Source organism: Homo sapiens, chromosome 8 (genome assembly GCF_000001405.40).
Source record: "Homo sapiens chromosome 8, GRCh38.p14 Primary Assembly".
Classification (NCBI taxonomy): Eukaryota; Metazoa; Chordata; class Mammalia; order Primates; family Hominidae; genus Homo; species Homo sapiens.
In genome coordinates, this window is record NC_000008.11 from 30,450,975 (window position 1) to 30,474,752 (window position 23,778).

A 23,778-nucleotide genomic window follows, 5' to 3' on the forward strand; every position below is an offset into this window, starting at 1 on the left:
ATATGGTGACTAGCCAGTATCTTAATATTTTTGAAAAAATAGACTCCTTGAAAAGCCCTGGAGGTAGAAAATGTAATTACTTTGCATGCCAAAAGAAATGTTTCCATCCTGGGGTCTTGTACAGGCTGAGGGTTCTGGATTATAACAAGTGTGTCCTTTTTTGTAACTGGCTCTGTAGTAGAAGTAGGTGGACTACAACACATTTCACTGCCCTGGGCTTCTGAGGTCTTTAGATTCACACCTGCCATTTCAATGCCCTGAGACTTTTCTTTCTCCTATCTCTCCAAGCTAAAATCGTTGAATCATATCCTGTCATTGGCTGTTCTGTTTATAATAAACTTCATGTGTAAAATGACATATTATCAAGAATTGCTTCAGCCATTGACATAGTGTCTGTACTCATGGGGCTTTGTTGTTCAGGCAAGACTGAGATGTCTTTCATTATTTAGTGGGTGTTTTGATACAGGTCGTGTGAATGTTGTCTGTCAAGCAAAGCAACAGTGCTTTGCCCAGGAACTGAGTTGAGATTCTGATAGATATGGATTATTATCTCCACTGTCCCCTGCACCCCAAACAGTTTTCTCTTTGGAATAGCTCACGTTATTTCAGGCTCTCTAGAAGTGTGAATGAGGCTAGTGTCTTTCTCAGGGAAACTGCCATTTTACTGATTTTTTTCCCAGCAGGCAACAGTCTGTTGGTGATGGATATACTGCTAAGAATAGAGAAAAATGAGAAACTAGAGATACTTGCACAGGCTTCAGGGGCAAATTTCATTCATGGAGACATTTAGCCCATTTGTTTTTTAAATATCAAATTGTAACAAATCTCCCAAATCTCTCCTATCTTTTAGGGACTGGGGGACGGCAGGCAAATAGAACAGTGTTATTCCAGGCATTGTCATTAGCCCGAAACCATCATATAATGATTGTGTTTCTTTTCTATCATATTTCAGCCACAGTATCATTTCAGGTGTCCCTCAGAAAGACGTCACATCCATAGATGGCACCTTTTAGGGAGGAAGCAGCAGTCAAGGGCCATTAGTACTAGAACACAGGCCTTTTCTGTCAAGTGCTTTGTCCTCCATATCACTCTGCCTTCCTTTGCGAGATGCCTTAACAAGGCTGCATTCGTGTGTCTGAGAGATCATCAGTACAGGTTCTAAGGCCAAACAGGTTGTAAGAAGAAGGTGATGATCAAGCATGGCATTTTACATCATCAGTCCTTAGTTAAGAAAAATATGGGCATTCCTGAGGGCTGTCATAAGTGGCCAGAAATCAGGGTCTGTAAAGTCCAAGGTACGGGAGAACTGGAAGCAATGAGTAACTCATGTTTGATGTACAGAGATGATTGTACCCAGTGTTACCATTTACAGAGAAGGCATCCAAACCATAATAAGCAAAATGCTAGACTAGATGTCACTGGGCAGGGCTGGGATTGGGGGGTGTTGGAGGTAGAATATCACCAGGTGGCAGTTAGATACTCATTGCTGGCATTTTATCCAGACACCAGAAGAACATGATCATTGTAAGTATATTTGTTATCTCTCCTACCTCCACCCCCTACAAGAATTCTTAAAAATACTGCTAGTGAGTGCATAGGGAGGATCCGTATCTCATTTCTTTTGTGTGGTTCATGTAATTCTGTCATCTTTGACTTCTATAATGATGCCTAGGTAGGGAAGAGTGCCAAATGGTCCTTAGCCCTCAAATTCCTGCCAATTGCTGAGTTGCTGATAGTATTCTCTACTGCAGGGGATATACCAGGACAATTAGCTTTAGCTCAAAACCATTTATCAGAGAATGTGGGAGACTGACTCCTGGCACTTGTTTGTGTCATGTGAGATATGCTATTTGTCTAAAAACTATCCTTTTCACATTTAATAGTTACTGTTTGCTAGTCAGAACTTCCAAAATCTTTTCCTTGGAGATTTCCTTCTGAAAATGTCAGTATCTCCTGACTTTCAGAGCAAATTGAGGGTTACTGTTCTTAACAGGTATCTCATTCTGCCTTCAAGTGTGGTTACTTGATACAGATGTCTTCTTTCCCCTTCCTCGTGGATTCATTGTGGTCTCTGCAGCAGTATTTCTCAGTGTGTGTTCTATGGGCTGCCTATATCCGCATCATTTAGAGTCCTTGTTAACGAGGCAAATTCCAGGGGCCCAACCTTACTTAGAGTATCCAGGATTCTTCACTTTAAATAGCCATCATACTCTCCCTGTGGTCCTTAATGTATGTTAAAGTTTGGGTAACGGTTCATGTAGAATCTTGTAATATGATCTGTGTACCTGACAGCTAGTTCGAAATGCAGAATCTCAGCCCCCACGTTAGATCTACTAAATCAGAATCTACATTTCAATAAAATGCTACATGAAAATATGGATGTGAATTGCTTTACAACTCTTTATAAGTAGGAAGCACTCATTAATTAATCACTGACTGTTGGTTTGTGGATCTGCTTTTCATATATTCTACTTTTCTAAAAAAAAGAAACAAAACAGCTTTTAGCTTCTTGGAAATTGTGGGGGTGTCTCAGAAGAATTGTTCTCTTATTACATTATTCACAGTAAAGAATAATAGTGAAAGTTCATGCTATCACTAGTATAAGCACAGATTTAGCTATTTCCTCCTAAATAACTGCAGAAGTACCTTATAAAATCTAATTGCAAATCTGTTTCTTATACAAAAGGGTCTAATTTTTCTCTGCCTGTGTGAGATTCACTCACGGCCTGATTCAAAGGCCTCTGCTCCAAGATCAAGAAAATCTTCCCAACGATCTTCAGTGGCACTTGGCAATAGGAGCTTTCAAGGGCCACAATCTCATCTCAGTGGGAGTAGGTACAATTGAATGTTATTTGTATGTTTTTTTAAAACTAGAAAACCTTCCTGTGGATTTAGTCATATTTCCCAAATGTGCTTGATCAGGAAGTTCATCTGTATTGCTTATTAAAAATTCATACTCCTAAGCCTCATCCCCAGATCGACTGAATCAGAATTTCTGGGAGGGATCTCCAGCAGTCTGTTAACAGACATCCTGGACATTCTTGAGATCAGGCATATTTAAGAAATACTGAATTATGTGATCCTTCTCCCAGCAGATTACCTTTCTGATTATATTTTTTTGAACTCATATCATCCCTTTTGTTTTCTTGAACATACTTTACCCCAGCAGCAGTAAAGAGGCAGCTCAGGATTGCTAGTTTAGTATTGAAAACCAGAAAGTGTGTATAGCTAAATACTGCATGATATTGTTTGTCCATAATGTAAGCATACTTGATTAACGAGTATTAACTTAGTGTGAGTTTATTAACTTATTAACTTATTCATACTATTGTCTGTTCCATGGATAGTGTCCTGAAGATGGCAAGTGTTACATTTAGTCTGCAAGGAAACAAGATCTAAAACAGTAAAATGGCGAACCGTCATGAAGTACATTAGGGGTATATGTGTAGGGGCTGATGGGGAGAGGTTATATGTGTGATTTGCCATGTCTTACTCTGCAACTCCTTTTCTTAACATTAAACTTGTGAGTGTGCTTCAACCTCAGGGACAAATTGTTGTTATTTAGAGAAATGAATTATGCATTCTTTTCCTTATAATTACATAGTTTATGTACCATCCTCTTTGAACGTAGCAGAAGGATTTGTTTCTTATAAAGAAATAAATGTGTTGGCCTCTAATTTAGTATTGGAGTAATCCTTGTGTCTCAGACAAAAAGATGAATTATCAAATACTTTAGGGTACTACTGTGTTACACATTGTTGAATCTATTATTTGTGTGTATAAATCCATGATTAAATTAAGTAGTGTTATCTAATTTGAGTTCTTAAATTCTTGGGTTTCTTTTTGTTTGTTTGGTTTGTTTTTTTGAGACAGAGTCTTACTCTGTTAGCCCAGGCTGGAGTGCAGTGGCATGATCTTGTCTCACTGCAACCTCTGCCTCCCGATTCACGCAATTCTCCTGCCTCAGCCTCCCAAGTAGCTGGGATTACAGGCACCCGCCATCACACCCGGCTAATTTTTGTATTTTTAGAAGAGACGGGGTTTCGCCATGTTGGCCAGGCTGGTCTCGAATTCCTGATCTCAAGTGATCCGCCTGCCTTGGCCTCCCAAAGTGTTAGGATTACAGGCATGAGCCACCATGCCCGGCCTCAAATTCTTGTATTTTATAAATCATTTCATGGGTTTAAATTCTTGCTTATGATGGATAAGTGAGAAGGGAGTCTTTTCCTCTTAAAACTAAATTCCTGACCATTTCTGTGAAATAATTTAAATACTACCCAGTTAGGGCTTTCTCTAAGTGAGTGTGTCATTCCAATGCAAAAGGAAACTTAGATCCCTGGTCTGAGGAAATTTAAATCTCTGATTCAAAGTTATAGTGATAAGTGAATGAGATACCTTGCCTACTCTCAAGGAATTTATAATTAAATTGGAGAGGACTTAACTAAAGCCTGTGAAACAATTAAAAAAAAAGTAAGTCCTGACTGTGGTATAAACAATGCATTAGGAGTACAGAAGAGAAAAAGAATTGGGGCAGTGGGGAAAGCTGCTTTGGGGAAGGAGAGTTTAATTTGGGCTTCTAAGAGTAGAAGAGAGCCTTCTCTGGAAGTAAAGAATAATTATAAGAGACAATGCAGGCCGGGCGTGGGAGCTCACGCCTGTAATCCCAGCACTTTGGGAGGCCAAGGTGGGTGGATCACGAGGTCAGGAGATTGAGACCATCCTGGCTAACATGGTGAAACCCCAACTCTACTAAAAATACAAAAAAATTAGCCAGGCGTGGTGGTGGGCGCCTGTAGTCGCAACTACTCGGGAGGCTGAGTCGGGAGAATGGCATGAACACAGGAGGCGGAGCTTGCAGTGAGCTGAGATCACGCCACTGCACTCGAGCCTGGGCGACAGAGTGAGACTCTGTCTCAAAAAATAAATAAAAATAAATAAATAAAAGACAATGCTTTTATTCGGGAATAAGCAATGTGTGGTATTAAGACTGAGCCAGTAGAACCCAGGGAGGTAATGAATGGAACATCTGAAGGCCAGAGGCTTGGGGATTTTGTTTTGATATAATTGGAAGAAACTGATGCATGCTAGCAGTGTTGAATGAGGTCAGAAGAGCAATAATTTTGTTGTGTGTGTGTTTTTTAATGCATTTCAAAAACTAGATGTGTGTCTTTCTGTGTGTATGTTATATATTTATCTGATATTTGTTGTTTTTTAGCGTTTCTAGTTTTTGTCATCTAAGATGACACTGCAAATAAAATCGAAAATTTCTGATGAGTGGTATACTCTCCAGCAAAGATGAAGATATTTGGGCAAAAAAATGATGCTTGTGCTAGCCTTAAAAGGTCATCGAAGGTCTGTGAGCCAGTTGTCTAAGCGCTGCTTACACTCTGATGGTGTTGAGGGATGAGGTGTAAGGCTAAGGGGTCCATATTCTTATTCCCTGGGTCCATAGTACTTTTGACACAGTTTCAGTTAGCAAAAAAGTATTGCATGTGGTGTGTGACATTAACCACACTAAAAAGATTTTTTTTTAAAATCATGGTTATATTGTAGTTTAACATACATATACAGTCTTTTAAGATTTCTGATGAGAGTTTGTATTTTATTATATTTAGAATATTTGGAAATTCTTTCACTGGGATCGGAACAAATTACCTGTAATTAACAATAGCTTAGATGTGGCCTTGCAAGAGTGATTGAGAACCTTTGGGTCACGTGTGGTGTATCATGAGGTCAGGAGTTTAAGACCAGCCTGGCCAAGATAGTGAAACCCCGTCTCTACCAAAATGTACAAAAATTAGCTGGGCATGGTGGCGTGCGCCTGTAGTCCCAGCTACTTGGGAGGCTGAGGCAGAGAATTGCTTGAAACCCCGGAGGTGGAGGTTGCAGTGAGCCGAGATCACGCCACTGTACTCCAGCCTGGAAGACAGAGCGAGACTCCATCTCACACACACAAAGAAACAACAGAACTTTCAGAACCTTTGGCACAACAGAACTGCATATCTGGGATGTTGGTCGTATCTTTATTTGGTCGTACTAAAACACAGACTCTCTGGCACTGTGAGAACTGTTTGCCTGCACATATCTTTGCCTGTGTTCTGGCCAATGCTGGCCTGTCATACCAGGTTCCAAAGATCACTGACAGGCTGGGTCATGTCTGCTCTGAAACATCCTTCATATGCCCCCAGGTTCTGACAGTTTTGAGAGAATCCTTTCTCAGTTTTGAGAACAGTTTTGGAAACTGCCCGAGATGTTTGAAATTCACAAAATGGAAAATATTGAGCTGGTTTCTGTAAAATATGCTATTTTATTTGTGCTCTTTACAGATATATTACAAATCTGTATTCTCATTCACAGGTTAAACTTTGTAAATTCCAAGGTCCTGAAAGGTGGTGGTCATGGTGGTAGTAGTATAAATAAGCATTTCAGACTGGAAATTCAGTATTAATAATGAAATATTTGTGTTTAATTTGTTTAGTGATATGCAATTTGTTCAGTGGTAATGTTCTGTTTCTTTAATAGCAATTGAAGCACTGTTTTATTATGGGTAACTTCTCAAAATATCTGTAGCTAAATGAAATCCTAAGTTTTAGAATTTGATTTACATTCTTTTTTTTTTTTTTTTTTTTTTTTTTTGAGATGGAGTCTTGCTCTGTTGCCTAGTCTGGAGTGCAGTGGTGCGATGGCTCCAACCTCTGCCTCCCGGGTTCAAGTGATTCTCCTGCCTTAGCCTCCTGAGTAGCTGGGATTACAGGCGCACACCACCACACCCAGCTAATTTTTAGTAGAGACGGGGTTTCACCATTTTGGTCAGGCTGGTCTCAAACTCCTGACCTCGTGATCTGCCCACCTCAGCCTCCCAAAGTGCTGGGATTACAGGCGTGAGCCACCGCCCTAGCCTTGATTTATATTCTTTAAGTATTTTTTCTGTCCCTGCTAGCAGAAAGTGTAACAAGGTAGCATTTGAGGAGTTTATATATTCATCCCTCAGTATTTGTGGGGGGATCGGTTCCAGGACTTCTGAGGATACCAAAACCTGGATGCCCAAGTCTCTGATATAAAATGGGCATGGTATTTGCATATAACCTATGCACATCCTCCTGTACATTTGAATCATCTCTAGGTTACTTACAATAGCTAATATGATATAAATGCTATGTAAATAGGTATACTATAATGTTTAGGGAATGATGACCTAAAAAAGTCTGTACATGTTCACTACAGATGCATTTTTTTTCCTCAGAATATTTTTGATCTGTGGTTGGTTGAATCCATGATGTGGAACTCACAGATAGCAAGGGCCTACTGAATTTGTTTAACAAAAAAACCTTGGGTCCTACTTAGTCTCTCTGTCAGGTACTTTTCTGAATGTTCTACAAATATTCACTGATTTATTCCTCTTAGCAACCCTGAGAGGTAGGTTTTGTTATCCTTCCTATTTTGCAGATGACACTAAAGCACTCATTTAATTAATAGTTGGTCCAAGATTGCTCAGCTAATTGGTGTTGGAGCTGGGATTCAAACCCAGGCAGTCTGGCTCTACAGTTTATATGCTTTAACACTATTCTCTACTGAGTAATTCTTTCACAAGAAAAAAAAAACAAAAAACAAAAACAAATAGATTTAGTCATGGCTGTTAGGTCAGTGTCTGTGATGAACTGGTTGCACATCAGTAATTCTGTAGTCCATTTCCCTTGTTTTGCACTGACAATTCTGTGCTAAATTCTTTAAATTTGTGGCCTCAGACACTGTTTTTTGAGACGGGATCTCACTGTCACTCAGGCTGGAGTGCAGTGGTGCAAACATGGCTCACTGCAGCCTCAACCTCCTGGGCTCAGTTGATCCTCCTGCCTCAGTCTCCTGTGTATCTGGGACCAAAGGCATGGGCCACCACATCCAGAGCTAGCTTTTGTAAAGATAGGGTCTCACTTTGTTGCCTCCCGAAGTGATGAGATTATAGGCATGAGCCACCACACCCAGCATGTTGGCTTTTTTTTTTTTTTTTTGAGACGGAGTCTCACTCTTGTCACCCAAGCTGGGGTGCAGTGGCACGATCTCCGCTCACTGCAACCGCCACCTCCTGGGTTCAAGCGATTCTCGTGCCTCAGCCTCCTAAGTAGCTGGGATTACAGGCGTGCCACCACACCCGGCTAGTTTTTGTATTTTTAGTGGAGACAGGATTTCACCATATTGGCCAGGCTGGTCTCGAACTCCTGACCTCAAGTGATCCTCCCATCTTGGCCTCCCAAAGTGCTTGGATTACAGGCATGAGCCACTGCCCCCAGTGGTTTTTTTTGGTTTTGTTTGTGGTTTTTTTTTGTTTTTTGTTTTTAAATAATGAGATCTCTGTTGCTCAGGCTTTCCTTGAACTCGTGTGCTCAAGTGATCCTCCTACCTCAGCCTCCTGAGTAGCTGGGACTACAGGCATGAACACTGTGCCCAGCTTCATTCTATTTTAATTATTACATGAAACATAAATAGATTGTACAGTTTAAATAAATATAAATATGTGGTGAAAAGTGGCTCGATTGACAGGTTCTCAATGGCAAGAAGTAGGTCTTCCCACCTGGTGTTCGGTGACCTCTATGCTTTTAACAAAAGCCTTTCATTATACCTTTGGAGTTGGAATGGAACTTGGAGATCAACCCTTGTACACTTTCATTTCATAAATAAGGAAATTGAGACCCAACAAGGTCAGTCCCTAAGCCCTCAACAGTTTGTTCTAAAACAGAAACATGATTTAAGCCACACTCCTCAATTTAATGGTCTTTTCCTCCCATTATAGTCATTAAAAATTTATACAGTGCCAGATTAAATAGCTCAATAAACTTTAAAAAATATTTTAGATCAATTTAAAAGTACATATAATCATGTTAACCTAGATTATTTCTCAACCACAAACCTCGCCCTTTTTTTCCTCTCACATTTGTTGTCTTTTGTTGTTTCCAGCAGGCACATAACATTGCTAGTTGTACATCATAGCAAGACTTGTAAGATCTGTGTCTCTTTACATAGTTACACATGCATATAAGCAACATATAAACTTAATATTGACTTGATTCATGCAACCACATAAATGGTTAACAGACATAATTAGGTGGTTATCAGATTAAACAAATATGTCTTTGGTGGAGAGTACTAAGTAGGATGGGGCATATTAATTGTAGCCTAAATGTACTGAATGTATTCTGAAATTTGAAATGCAAACAATTGGAAAAGCTAATCTAAACTAAAAATCCAAACTTAAAAATATCTAAACTTTAAAATGGAAGTTTGCTTTTTTACTGGAAGTACTCATTATCAGCACTGGGCTTTATAGTGTTAAGTAAACTAGTTTGCGAATTAGAGAAAGGCACTAATGTAAAATAGGTTGTGTTCTAAAAACTTGTATTTCAGCCATGTGGTGTTTTAAATAGTGGCTGGATGGATTTTTTTCTGTAGAAACAGTTTTAGAAAAGTGGATGGTTCTTAGTAGAGAGCTCACCAAAGCCCTGTTAGCCTACATATACATCTATGCTCTGTGAACGTCCCTAGGCTTGACACTCTTAGTCTTTTTCCTGGTATTAGCTTCAAAATATTTTACATTTATATTATTGCTATTTATTTTCTATATTACATCAGATATATCTGGAATTAAGTATAGATATTAAAGGAGACTATAGCTAAGATTTCTTATACTACCGTAAAAAGTAGTGATTAAACAAATCAGGAAAATTATAAGTTGAAACCTCTCTTTTTAAAGGGTCGTGTTTATTTTATTGCCTTTTAGATTATTGAATCTAGTCAATTAAAATTAATGGAGCTGGGTGTGGTGGCTCACGCCTGTAATCCCAGCACTTTGGGAGGCTGAGGTGGGTGGATCACTTGAGCTCAGGAGTTCGATAAATGTTTTGACATTTTGTATTTCTCTACCAAAAACACAAAAAATTAGCCAGGCATGGTGGCATATACTTGTGGTCCCAGCCACTTGGGAAGCTGAGGTGGGGGAGGATCTCTTGAGTCTGGTAGGTGGAGTTTGTAGTGAGCCGAGATCACACCACTGCATTCCAGCCTGGGTGACAGACCCCATCTGAAAAAAAAAAAAAAGAAATTAACGGGAAAAAGACCAGTCTTCTGGTGGGACTTTAAAGTAAAAATGCATATGCACCCCTAACTACATAGCTTCTACTGCCTAGCTTTACCAACTGATACCAATCTCTTCATTGATGTTGATATAATTATTTATTCCTGACAGGATTATGGCATCATAAAGAAGTGATTTATATAATCTAAATAGGCCCCTTATAAAAAGTGACTTGATAACTTTTAGGGACAATTTTTCTTCAACATTTTTAAATATTTAAGTTTATTTAACGTATACTGAAATTTGCTTAACTAAACTTTTAAATTTGACCTCATTGTAGTTTCACATACAGTGTGTTTGTTTGTTTGTTTTTGGGAGATGAAGCCTCGCCCTGTCGCCCAGGCTGGAGTTCAGTGGCCCAATCTCGGCTCACTGCAACCTCTGCCTCCTGGGTTCAAGTGATTCTCCTGCCTCAGCCTCCTGAGTAGCTGGAACTACAGGCGCGTGCCACCACGCCCTGCTAATTTTTTGTATTTTTTAGTAGAGACAGGGTTTCACCATGTTAGCCAGGATAGTCTTGATCTCCTGACCTCGTGTTCCACCCGCCTTGACCTCCCAAAGTGCTGGGATTACAGGTGTGAGCCACCGCACCCGGCCTCATGTACAGTTCTAAGAATACAGAGAGATCACTTGTGCCCTTTGCCTAGTTTCTGCCTGTAGTAACATCTTAGAAAACTGTAGCACAATGTCACAATCAAGAAGTTGATATAATCCACTAATTTTGTTTCTGTGAAGTTTTATTATATGTGTGTGTTCATGGATCCACCACCACAGTCAAGTTACAGAACAAGTCCCCACTACAGAGATCTCTGAGGTTGCTTTTGAGTAGATAAGTGGGATTATGCCTTATGTAATCTTTAGAGATTGGCTTTTTTTACTTAGTGTAATTCCCTTGAGAGTCGTTCAAGTTGTTGCTTGTATTAGTAGTTTATTTATTCTCATTGCTGATTAGTATCCCATGTTATGGATATATCTAATTTGTTTAACCATTCAGGTTTTTGTGTGAACATGAGTTTTTATTTCTTTGGAATAGGTGCCCAAGGGTACAACTGCTAGATTGTTTGGAAATTGTGTAGTTTGATTAGAACCTGTTTTCTAGTGTGGTTGTACCTTTTTGCATTCCCAACAGCAATATATGTGAAAGATTCTGTTTCTCTGCATCTTTGCCATAACCAGTGTTATCATTGTTTTTGTATCATATGAGATACAATCAGGTATGGATTTTAATGTAAATATAAAGTAGCTAAAATACCATATACTACAATAAAAAGTGATGATTAAACAAACAGGAATATTATAAAATTAAGTAACATTATACTTTTTTGTTTGTTTGTTTGTTTTTTGGAGACAGGGTCTTGCTCTGTCACCCAGGCTAGAGTGTAATGGTGCAATCTCGGCTCACTCCAACCTCCTCCTCCTGGGTTCAAGTGGTTCTGCCTCAGCCTCCCGAGTAGCTGGGATTATAGGCCTCCACCACCACGCCCAGCTAATTTTTGTATTTTTAGTAGAGACGAGGTTTCACCATGCACCATGTCTGCCAGGCTGGTCTCGAACTCCTGACCTCAAGTGATCGGCCATCCCAGCCTCCCAAAGTGCTGGGATCACAGACGTGAGCCACTGTGCCTGGCCTGATTTTTTGTTGTTGTTGTTGTTTTTAATCTCAAAAATGGAATATAAAGAGAGACAGAGATTTTCCTGATGGGCCAAAAGTTGACTGAGATCTAAGAAATGGATTTTGGAAGGATGCATGAGGAGCATGATGGTGGGGTGCTGGCCAGAGTGAAATTTGCCCGCGGCCTTTTACAAAGGTAGACAGAGTGATGGTAATGAAGAGATTTTGAGTCATACTATTGGGGTCCGTAATACGAAAAATGCTTCTACTTTGAGTTATGCATTGGTTCCTTTTAGGATGCAGACTTACTTTCTCTCTTGCCCACCTCAAGCCTGTGTATAACAGTTGCATGATAATACCATCACATGCACCTTCTCTTAGGATTGCCTTTGGTACATGAAAATGCATCTTTTTTGTGAACATTGTAAGCCACCTTATAATAGATAACATTTTTCTGAGCCCTTACTATGAACCAAGCATTGAAATCTATGCACATTGCATGTAGTTAACTCATTTAATCCTTGCAAAAACTATGTAGCAAATTACCCCAAATTTACCAGCTTAACAGTTATTTAGGAGCAGCTTGGCTAGGTGGATCTAGCTCAGGGTCATAAGGTTGGAATCACAACATTTTAGCTGGGGCTGCGGTCATCTGAAGACTTGACTAGGCGTGGGAGATCTGCTTCTAAGATGGCTCACTCACATGGCTTTTGGCCAGAGGCCTCTGTTACTCATCACGTGGACCACCCCATCGGGTTAAAATATTATCACAACATGACAACTGGCTTCACTCAGAGTGAGTAATTCAAGAGCTGCTTCTGCTAAAGAAGCCAGAATACCTTTTTTGATGCAGTCTTAGAAGTCATACACTGTCACTTCTGCCATACTCTGCTCACTAGAAGCGAATCACTTAAGTGAAGCCATGCTAAAGGTGAAGGGGATTAAGCTCCACTTCTTTAAGGGAGGAATATCAAAGAAATTGTGGACATAGTTTAATATGAGGAAACTTAGGAAGGGAAAGGTTAAGTGATTTGTCCAAGTGCATACCTTGTGAGTTGCAGAACCTGGATTTGAATCCCAGCAGACTCCATGTGTTTTTGGTTGTTCTGTGAACCACATGCTTTGAGCACTTAACCTCTTGAATGCATATTCGAACTCACAAGGTTTGGTGGCCCAAGCCTGTAATCCCAGGACTTGGGGAGGTGGAGGTGGGTGGATCACTTGATCCCAACAGTTCAAGACCAGTCTAGGCAACATAGGGAGACCTCATTTCTACAAATACAGAAAACAAAAAAATTAGCCAGGCCCGCTGTGAATACCTGTTGTCTTAGCTACTTGACAGGCTTAGGCAGGAGGATCTTTTTGAGCCAAGGAGGTTGAGGCTGCAGTGAGCTATGATTGTGCCAGTGCAACCCGTTTCTTTAAAATAAAAAAAGTTATAATGACTTTCTTCATATTTACGTGTTCATATCTAGATATTCATGAATGATACGGCCCTCTCTTTTATATCTGGTTTAGTACTTTGACTCAATTTTTACATTCACTCATTTAGTTGATAGATACTGATCACCTCCTGCCAAGTACTGGGATGCTCACCATCATATGGGAAAGAACTTTCAATTTAAAGGTGAACTAACTGACCTGGCACCAAGGAATTTAAACTATATATTGGGTAATTTCTGATAACTAAATATTGGGAAATAAACCTCCCCCCACCCCAGCTTTCTAGTTCACACCTTCTCTAATTGTTAGAAGCATATTGCATAGTTTTAAGAATGCATTGTAAACTGAAGTTGGCAATGGGATGAAGTTCCTCAGATAGAGTTTGTCTACTGCTAATATCAAAAGCAATAAATACTTGAGAGTCCTGGGCAATGTTGAAACTGTAAACTGCCAATGTCTGTTTTTTCTTCCTGGTACTTTAAATGACCATGAACTCTGTGTTGTCTGGGTTAGTTTTAACTAGGTAGTTTGAGAGATGTGAAATGACTTGTTTCTTTGAACAAATCTGTTTTGTAAAATGAGTCACCCAGATTATGCAAAAAGAGAAAGGAAGAGAGGTCTTAGAATTTTGATAAGATCTTTTTCATATTCTGTGCTTGTATTTCATTTTGTCAGTCCATGGAAAAGTCTTTATTGTGGTGATCATTTTGACATTAAACTTCAGGGTACTTAGGGTGAAACCGTAAGGGCATGTACACCTTAGGGCATTAGAATGCAACTTTATGTTCATAATACATTGGACTGATGTATACATTTAAAAACTTAATGTTTTAGCAGTGTATGCAGTGAAATTGTATGAAAAGTAACATTTCATAGGCTGACTAGGGTTGAAATAGAGCAAGCCACCTAAAAATTAGTTAGAAGAACTAGAGGATGGAGTAAGAACAGGACCAGAGTTAAGGGATGAAGCATCCTGCCTTTATAAGGAACTTCTTGTTGAACTCTAAGGATTTGACAACCATGTTTCTTATTTGACAGCATTCAGTGAATTTCCTAATATCAAGGTTAAGTTCTCTCATGTATACACACATATATCTAGTTTCCTGTCTAGCCTAATTCACACATTAAATTCTTGATTTGTATCTGATATACCTCCCTCCTTCTGTGTCTGACAGTACTAAGGGAATTTCTTAATAATGAGGTTAAGTGTTCACATGTGCAGACACTTCTCTTGCCTATACTTTGGCAGCTTAAAATCCTAGGAATTCTCACTTTTTCTCTTTTCCTTTTAGATATATGGCAGACATGAGGAATGGCCTGAGTTGGAGTTTGCTTCTTAAGAAGTCCTATCAGGCGGGGCACAGTGGCTCACGCCTGTAATCCCAGCGCTTTGAGAGGCTGAGGCAGGTGGATTACCTGAGGTCAGGAGTTTGAGACCAGCCTGGCCAACATGGCGAAACCCTGTCTCTGCCAAAAATACAAAAATTAGCCAGGTGTGATGGCAGGCGCCTGTAATCCCAGCTACTTGGGAGGCTGAGGTAGGAGAATCGCTTGAACCTGGGAGAGGTGGAGGTTGCAGTGTGCCGAAATCGTGCCACTGCACTCCAGCGTGGGTGACAAAGTGAGACTTTGTCTGAAAAGAAGAAAAAAGTCCTATCAGAATTAGAGCTTAGGAAACATTCTGATTAGAAGTCAGCATTGGATTGGGCTGGGATTGGCTCCTCAAAGATTGAACATAGTGGTGTGGTATACCCAGTGCTAACTTGCTGTCCGTATTCTCTGAACATGTCTGAGCAGTGCTCAGGTCCTGCCTTATGAATTATGGAACATCATTGTTCTTCTCTCTTCCACCTGTGCTCCCATTAGTCTTCCTTCTTCCCATTATCCTACCAAAAACTTTGTGATCACCTTGGCAAAGGGACCCTGGTTTCCATAGGCCCTAAATCAGGGTATGAATTTGGTTATTCTACAGATTGTGTCAGCCAATAACTGTCACTTACAGCAAATACTAGTGGATCCCTCAAAACTAGGGAGTCACGTACTCTGGATAATTATTAATATATGGATGGCTTTTTCTTTTAGAAAGGAAAGAGCAATGATTAATATTAAAATAGCCTAGGTGTGATAGCTTACACCTGTAATCTCAATACTTTGGTAGGCTAAGGTATGAAGATCACTTGAGATCAGGAGTTTGAGACTAACTTGGGCAAGACCTCGTCCCTACAAAAAATAAACATAATAAGATTAATTGGATGTTGTGGCACACACCTTTAGTCCTAGCTACTTGGTTGGCTGAGGTGGGAGAATCACTTGAGCCCAGGCGTTCTAGGCTGCAGTGAGCTATGATTGCACCGCTGCACTCCAGCCTGACCAGAACGAGACCCAAACCTGGGAGTCCATAACAACAGCACAGTGGTTTTGGTTTTTCTTTCTTTCTTTTTTTTCTTTTTTTTTTTTTTTGAGACGGAGTCTTGCTCTGTTGCCCAGGCTAGAGTGCAGTGGCGCAATCTCGGCTCACAGCAACCTCTGCCTCCCAGGTTCAGGTGATTCTCCTGCCTCAGCCTTCCAAGTAGCTAGGATTACAGGTGCCGACCACCACGCTGGCTAATTTTTGTATTTTTAGTAGAGACGGGGTTTCACCATGTTGGTCAGGCTGGTCTCCCATTTCCTGACGTCAGGTGATCCACCTGCCTCGGCCTCCCAAAGTGCTGGGATTACAGGCGTGAGCCACCAAACCCGGCCAGTGGCCCTTTTCTAAATCCTATGGTTAGTCAATCCTTGGTGTCTGTAGCAATGTGACCTCCTGAACCAAAACTTGCCTTCCCAGGGCACAGAAAAGGAACAAGTCTTTTAAGTCCAATAGGTGACCATTATCAGGAAGTAAGAACTTGACCACCTGCTTTTCTTGAAGTCAGTGCCAACTAGAAACTGGAGCTTGACCAAAGCCAGTTCATTTCTGCTGAGCTGCAATCAGAATTAAATGCTTGACAGGCCATATTAATGGTTGCAGTAATCCATTTTCATGGTGGCAAGGCCTGAATGGGAAATCCTACCAAGCCAACAAAGCCTTCTTTGGAAATGAGATGACCAGCAGTCCTCAGCAGGGTTCAGTCTTGCAACTTGGTGTTTCAGCTCATGGTTACAAAGTTAACAAATAACTTAATAGATTATTTAAAAAGAGTAAAAGAAGTTAACCAGTGTGTAAAATTTACAAGCTGGGCCCTGATGCCCCGCTTGTGCATTAAAACACCCTAGCTGTATGCGATTTATGCTGCATGGGTATGTGGAGGCCTTAACTTCTCAGTTTCTGAAACCCAAGTTTATATTACATGGTCTGTCAGAAGAGGGATGGCACTGCCATAGGTATGGGAGTGATCCCTCAGTTCTTATCTTAGTAGAGCAGTCACAAAGCAAGAATACCCCTTTGACTGAAACCAGGATGTTTCTGCTCCTGGGGCAACCTTAGTCACTGGTTCCCCTTTTTGGTTAGATTATTTTTTCAGAAGTAAAGAAACACTGACTTTTGGTCAGAATTGAAATGTGAAGCAAGTTACATGAATATATTTTTGCCAGATCAAGCTTGTCCCTGAGGATCAAGGACAGGGAGGAAAATGAGAAAGAATATTTCTAAGGACAGTGGACATGCTGAGTTTGTATTTTCAAACGAAGGAAATACATTTGGGCTTGGATTTGTTCTCATTTTTAAAGTAGTTGTTTATGCTTGTAATTTAAATGCCAAAATGTATAAATACATAAAATGAAGGTTATCTATAATTCTACCTTCCTCTCCACTATTAACATATAGATAATTTGGTATGTATTCCTTTGATACCTTTTTTTTTTCCCTTGAGCATGTACTAACTTATAAAAACCCTAAGAGAATTAAAGTGGGAATATGGGCAGTTCCTGCTGTTTGCTTTTTCCCTTAATAATTGTGAACCTTGTTCTTTGTCAGTAGATCTGGATATCTACTTACTCAGCTTTTTAAATATACAGGTTAATGAGTTTGGGCTTTTCTTTCCCCAAAAAACTTCAAGTATGAATTTGCATTTGTTGAAATTGGACGTATGTATTTGTAAGTATGTTTTAATTATCATAAATTAAAATGTGGATAATTTTCCTGGTAACCATATATTGATCACTATTCTGGTCTATATGGTCCTGAATTTTTTTTGCACTTTCTCTTTTTGGGTCTGTCTCCATTTCAGTCTATCTCTTACATTTTTCTCCTTGATTCAGATTGGTTTTTATCCTACTTCCCTTTCCTCCCTTCTAAATTTCTTTATAATACTAATCTCTCCTGACAAACACATATAGGTGTTTGTCAGTTGATGTTGTGTAACTCTATTGATAAATTGTGACTGGGAAATGCCATCTTATTTTGCTTGCCATGTCACCAGCTGAACTGTTTACAAGCAAATATGTATATCTCCATGGATACAGGATTATGTAAATCCTTGGATTTGCATATGTTTCTAAGTCAGTCGAGATATTTATAGAACATACACTCTGTGCCTAGGACTGTGTTATACACTACAAATAACAGCCTTCAAACTCTAAAATGCCCATAGAAAGGTTTCATCTGTGAATCCACTGTGTGTTTCAAGAATGGTTTCTCCAAAACAATGATTCAAACATACAGCACATTTAAAAGCTGCTTTGAGGTCTTCATTTATATCTATAAGAATATGGGTAGATAGAGAGAGAGATGAATGTAGCCATTAACACCATGGGTTTACTCAAGAGTGTTTCAAATAAGTAACTATACAGTCATTCCTGAGTCATTAGAAGATAGTTATCCTTCCCAGTTCCATGAATTTAAGAGGAACCTCAAGAGCCCAGCTCAGAGCAGCTAGATAGATGACCTTAAAACTTTTATGAAAAACTAGAACATGCAGAGAAAATGCTCATAGTCTTTGGATACTATGTGTTTACCAGATGTGGCTGCTAGTTGAAAAGTGTCTGTGATTATTCTCTGTTGTGTACTGAAGTCGAGCATTTTTCTATTGCTTTTTATTTTCATGCCTAGATTACCAACAAGATTAGATATGCTCTTTATTAAAGAGAGGGCCATTTCAAGGCCTGCTTTTGGCCTTTCTCTCCAGGGAAGCTCAAGACTGCCACAAATGGCTTTACTTACTGAATCGGAGTTTATTAAATGAGAAGACAGTCAATAAAATGTGTCTTGCCTTTCCTAGTGGGAGCTGGCAATGCCATTTAAGAACACGTGGCCAGTTTATCCAAAATCTAACTGTAGCCTCTGCAGGAATGCTGGATAATGGCTAAGCCAAGAACACTCTTGCTCTTCTGCCCAGCACAGGATGATTTTTACTAGCATTTATTCTTTCAGTCCTGTTGGGGTAAAAAGGAAGTTGAAGGTACATCTACAAATCTTTTTGAGTCTCTTTGGGACAAAGCTGTCAGCAGTTTCATCTCTTGAACTTCTATGAGGCATGTTGTGTACTTGTCTAAGAAATATGTTTCCCCATGTGTTCCATAAAGTAAACATCTGCGGATGCTAAAGGCATAGTGCCAGGCACATCTGTGTCCATAGACATTGCTGGTAAACTAAGGGCTGCTCTGGATAATGCTTTGACCTGCTGCAAAGTTCAGTTGGCGTAGTAATTCATTTGTTATTTTTGGGGAACAGTTTTGTTAATGAGTATTTCATCATAAATTTACATGCTGCTTATGCTTGTATCTTACTCTTGGGGTTTTTTTAGTTACTTTGTGAATGAGCTAAGCTTTCTGTTATCACAGGCAGCCATTACATATTCAGTTTATTTCACTGACAGTAAGCTCCCTGAAGGCAAGGATCATGTCTATGAATTCAGTAGGCTTAGCAAAGCCAAAACTCTGAAGTGCCCTCCCTTTAGTGGCTCAGATGAAAAGTATGATGGTAATAAGAGTAGAGAAACTAAAATGTTTTAAAATATTTCTGTGATTCTAGGCCGGGCACGGTGGCTCACACCTGTAATCCCAGCACTTTGGGAGGCCAAGACGGGCAGATCACCTGAGTTCAGGAGTTCAAGACCAGGCTGGCCAACATGGTGAAACCCCATCTCTACTAAAAATACAAAAATTAGCTGAGCGTGGTGGTGGGCACCTGTAATCCCAGCTACTCGGGAGGCTAAGGCAGGAGAATGGCTTGAACCCGGGAGACAGAGGTCTCAGTAAGCCAAGATCACGCCATTGCACTCCAGCCTGGGCGACAGAACGAGATTCCATCTAAAAAAAAAAAATCTGTGATTCTAGATCCCAGTCACCATAGAAAAGCATGAATTTGATATTCAGAAAGCTATTTTTTCCATTCATTATTCGTGATTTTTTAAAACTTGCTTGATGACTTTCCTAGTCTGAGGAGGTCTCTAGGACTCCAAGCACATTATGTTTCCGGATTTAAGTGACCTCTAGTTGGAATCAAATACATAATGTAAGTATTCAAAAATTATTTCCCCCTTGTCAATCTATTCTACTAGAGGAAAGAATATCTCAGTGAGTGAGATGAGATATTCTGGTAGATTTCTGAAACAATAGTGGACTTCATGAGATTCTAGGTAACCTAAGTCTCGTCCATGTTTAAATAAAATGCCAAACATCTGATCTGCCTCCAGTTTGATGAACAAAGCAGAGTTGCTTTGAGCCTCTTGGCATCTATGGGTGAGTGGCAAACTTAGGCCTGACGGGAGCTCAGATTTTCTTTTTCCCCATGTATGACAATTTTCTATTGAAACACTAAGATAAGAATCTCTTCGCTTTCCATTATGGAATATTTACATAAGAAAGAATTTCCTCCATAAACTTTATAATATAATATTGATACAAATATTGACTTTGTTTCTAGTCCCTTAAAGAAAGGGAGGTAATAAATTGAGGTAATTCTCAACCTAATAAAATAAACTTACAGTATTTAATGCATATTTATTTTAGAAAGATGGAAAATACAAATAAGCTAATAAACATTAAAATCAGTTACTATACCATTGAGGCTAAACGATAGAAACATTTGAGTACACATACTATAAGATAAATTTTTTTCCTCTAAATACTTATATGTTGGCTACTTTATAGAACAAAGTGGAACTATATATACTTTTTCCTTGAACGTCATTTTTATTGGCTGTGTAATATTTCATTGTATGATACAGATGAACCTTAGTTTATATTAAGTAACCTTTTGTTCATAATCCCCAGATTTCAAGTAACCTCTGTTGGTAAATTGACATTTATGAAGCCCTTTTCTCTATAACAATATTATAAATAATAGTTTATTTTCTAGGTTAACTCCTCAAATTCTAATTCATATTTATCACATGGTAAGATGCACCACTAGATAAATGGCACCATGACACTTAGAACGTAAGTTCTGCTTATCGTATCATTTTTGTGGAAATCTCTGTAATCCAGTTAGAACCTGGCACAGTGTCAGAGAGAAAACAGGCACTTCCCAAAATCTGAATAAATGGAAGATGGTATTCTCGCTCTGCCCAGGTTGTCCTGACCAGAACAGCCAAGTGGAATAGATGGTGTTCACTTTCTGGACTATGGGAGGAGAGTTGCGGGTGACAGGGAGGGCACACTGGATTAGCAGGATTTCCTCACTGTTTGTATCTTTGACACTTGTCAGCAATTCTGCCTCAGCGAACTTCATAAAGACCACCAGGAACTTGTTTATCTGGTGGCAAAGTTGGGGGTAGTGGAAATGAGGATGCAAAAGATACAGAACACTTGAACAACAAACTTGATGTAATTGATACTTATAGATCATTCCACCCAGCCCCAGCAGAATACACATTTGTTTTAAGTGCACACAGAACATTTACCATGTTCTGAAACATAAGACAAGGAATTGATGGGCATTAAAAAAAGCATATACCTTTCATATATAGGCATTCCACTTCTAGGTGTTTATCCAAAAAGAAAGAAAGTATACATCCATACAAAGATTTGTACATGAATGTTCATAGCCATTTTATTTGTAATAGCCAAAACTAGAATAACCTAAATGTCAACATGTGAATGGATAAACTGTGGTGTATCCACACTACAGAATACTTCTCAGTAATAAAAAGGAATAGACTGTTGATACATTCAACAACATAGATGAATCTCAAAGTAAATTTCACTTCATGCTAAGGGAAAGAAGCCAGATGAAAAGGGTACATACTCTGTGGTTCCCTCTGTATATGTAAGTGTTTGAGACATATATACTAATATAAAGAGATCAGAGCAGTGATTGCCTGGGGATGGAGAATGGTGGGACAGAGTGGGAGGAAGGATTAAAGGGGCATGAATAAACTTTTGGTGGTGATAGATTGTCTTGGTTGTGATGGTGGTGATAGATTGTCTTGGTTGTGATGTTTCTTAGGTTATACATATGTCAAAACATCACATATTTCAAGATGTGTAGTTTATTATATATCAATCATAACCTCAATAAAGCTGTTTATAAATATATCATAAAATAAGGCATTCAGAATTCTGGGGCTATTTACATCATTATAGTGTTTATCAAACATACTTACATGCAAATGGCATGACATTTTACTGTGTACTGTGCTGGGTCAATAAAAGGGCCTTGCTTGGTGATTCGCACTTCTGTGTAACAGGAAACAGTGAAAAGTGTTAGGAATCTAGAAAAAGCCAGGCGAGGTGGCTCATGCCTGTAATCCCAGCACTGTGGGAGGCCGAGATGGGAGGATCTCTTGAGCTCAGGAGTTTGAGATCAGCCTGGGCAACATGGTGAAACCCCATCTTTACAAAAAATTAGCCAGACATGGTAGCAGACTGTCTGTCTGTCTAATATTCTCCCCATCTTTCACTGAGGAAAAATCTTTCATGTATATATTCATGGTTAACAATTGAACAATTGAGCATCGAATTTTCAATCATGTTGCATCTGTGTTTGAGTAGAGAAAAACAAATAGAAAATATGATGATAATTCAGTAGCTACTCCTTGCCTATTGAATCAAGATCAAATTCCTGAGCCAGTGGCTTTTGATGTTTTGTGTGTTTGACCCTAAGCTTCTTGTTTAGTTTTGGCTTGCCCTTCCCCAAGAATGTTTTCTTCTTCTCCTACTTCACTGCCTTGGTGAATCCTTTTCTCTGCCTGTGATTCTTAGGGATCCCACCTCATCTTTTGGCTCTATTTGGTAAATGCCCATCCTTTCGATTCTTACTCAGATGCTTTCTCTGGTGTTTCCCCTGTGTTCTGTGTTTTAGTAGACACTAAGCACATAGTGTGTACCCTACACTTTGCACTATATGTATTTACATATGTGTCTTGAATGACTTTTATTAGTGGCACCGTAGCCAGGTACCTTGTACATGGTGGCCTATGTGTTGATTGTGCCTTAAACACAGTGGGTGGAAGACAGTATGGCGATTCCTCAAAGATCTAGAAGCAGAACTACCATTTGACCCAGCAATCCCATTACTGGATATATACCCAAAGGAATATACGTCATTCTGTTAGGAAGATACATGCACGTGTATGTTCATTGCAGCACTATTCACAATAGCAAAATCATGGAATCAACCCAAATGTCCATCAATGATAGACTAAATAAAGAAAATGTGGTACATATACACCATGGAATACTATGCAGCCACAAAAAGGAACAAGGTCATGTCCTTTGCAGGGACATGGGTGGAACTATAAGTCATCCTCAGCAAACTAACACAGGAACAGAAAACCAGACACCACATGTTCTCACAAGTGGGAGCTGAAGGATGAGGGCACAGGGACACATGATGGGGAATAACACACATTGGGCTTGTCGGGGGCTTGAGGGGAGGAAGAGCATCAGGAAGAATAGCTAATGGTTGCTGGGCTTAATACCCAGGTGATAGGTTGATCTGTGCAGCAAACCACCATGGTATGTGTTTACCTTTGTAACCTGTACATCCTGCACATGTACCCCAGTACTTAAAATTTAAAAAACAACAACAACAACAAAAATGCAATGGGAACAATAGTCAGTGAGGTTGGCCCTGCTGTTTTGGAACCGAACAGATGAAGAGTTAATGCATTTTGGTTACTATTTAGGTGCATTGGGCTTAACTTTACTTTTACATTTATTAAAGTTATTGTAATTAATGCCTATGAGGAAAGCAGCAACAAAACAAGCAGGAGGAAACAAATTGTTTTTATATTATTTTTGAAGCACATTATATAGGCGATATATTTAGGGCAGAGGAGTGGCAGATTTACTGTGCTCATGTCATTTTTTTCTTAAGCTAATATTTAAATTATATGGAACCTCCCCCCATCCTTCACATTTTTAGAAGTGTGCAATGGCTAGTTGGGAAAAGTTAGCTTGTAAATTTAAATCAACTAGATGTAATTCACTCTGAATAATTCACATAGAAATATTCAAGTGTTGGCTTAGGGGATGTACCTTAAGATTACACAGAAGGCTGCATCTCCCCTAAAATTTAAAAAGGAAAAAAAAGTGTTGGCTTAGTGGCATCTTAACAGTGAAGTATTCGTTGTATCATGGAAAGAGCATGAATTTAGTATGAGTTGTGGAATATTTGGAATAATATGTTTCTGAGATATCAGGTGAGAGTTAACTCTCTGGAGTGTCCACACCCTTG

General features: G+C 39.4%; 1 protein-coding gene across 20 annotated transcripts in view, besides 2 other annotated features; it reads left to right on the plus strand.

The window, feature by feature from the left end:
• Positions 1 to 23,778, plus strand: part of RBPMS (RNA binding protein, mRNA processing factor) — a 187,716-nt gene that overhangs the window by 66,434 nt on the left and 97,504 nt on the right. The window lies entirely within an intron of this gene.
• Positions 1,894 to 2,395: an enhancer, noted in NCBI's record as "NANOG hESC enhancer chr8:30310384-30310885 (GRCh37/hg19 assembly coordinates)". NCBI's record gives its function as "activates a minimal SCP1, AML or CMV promoter by ChIP-STARR-seq in naive and primed H9 embryonic stem cells {active_cell/tissue: H9 hESC(naive and primed)}" and the evidence as "EXISTENCE:reporter gene assay evidence [ECO:0000049][PMID:30033119]".
• Positions 10,293 to 11,088: an enhancer, noted in NCBI's record as "H3K27ac-H3K4me1 hESC enhancer chr8:30318783-30319578 (GRCh37/hg19 assembly coordinates)". NCBI's record gives its function as "activates a minimal SCP1, AML or CMV promoter by ChIP-STARR-seq in primed H9 embryonic stem cells {active_cell/tissue: H9 hESC(primed)}" and the evidence as "EXISTENCE:reporter gene assay evidence [ECO:0000049][PMID:30033119]".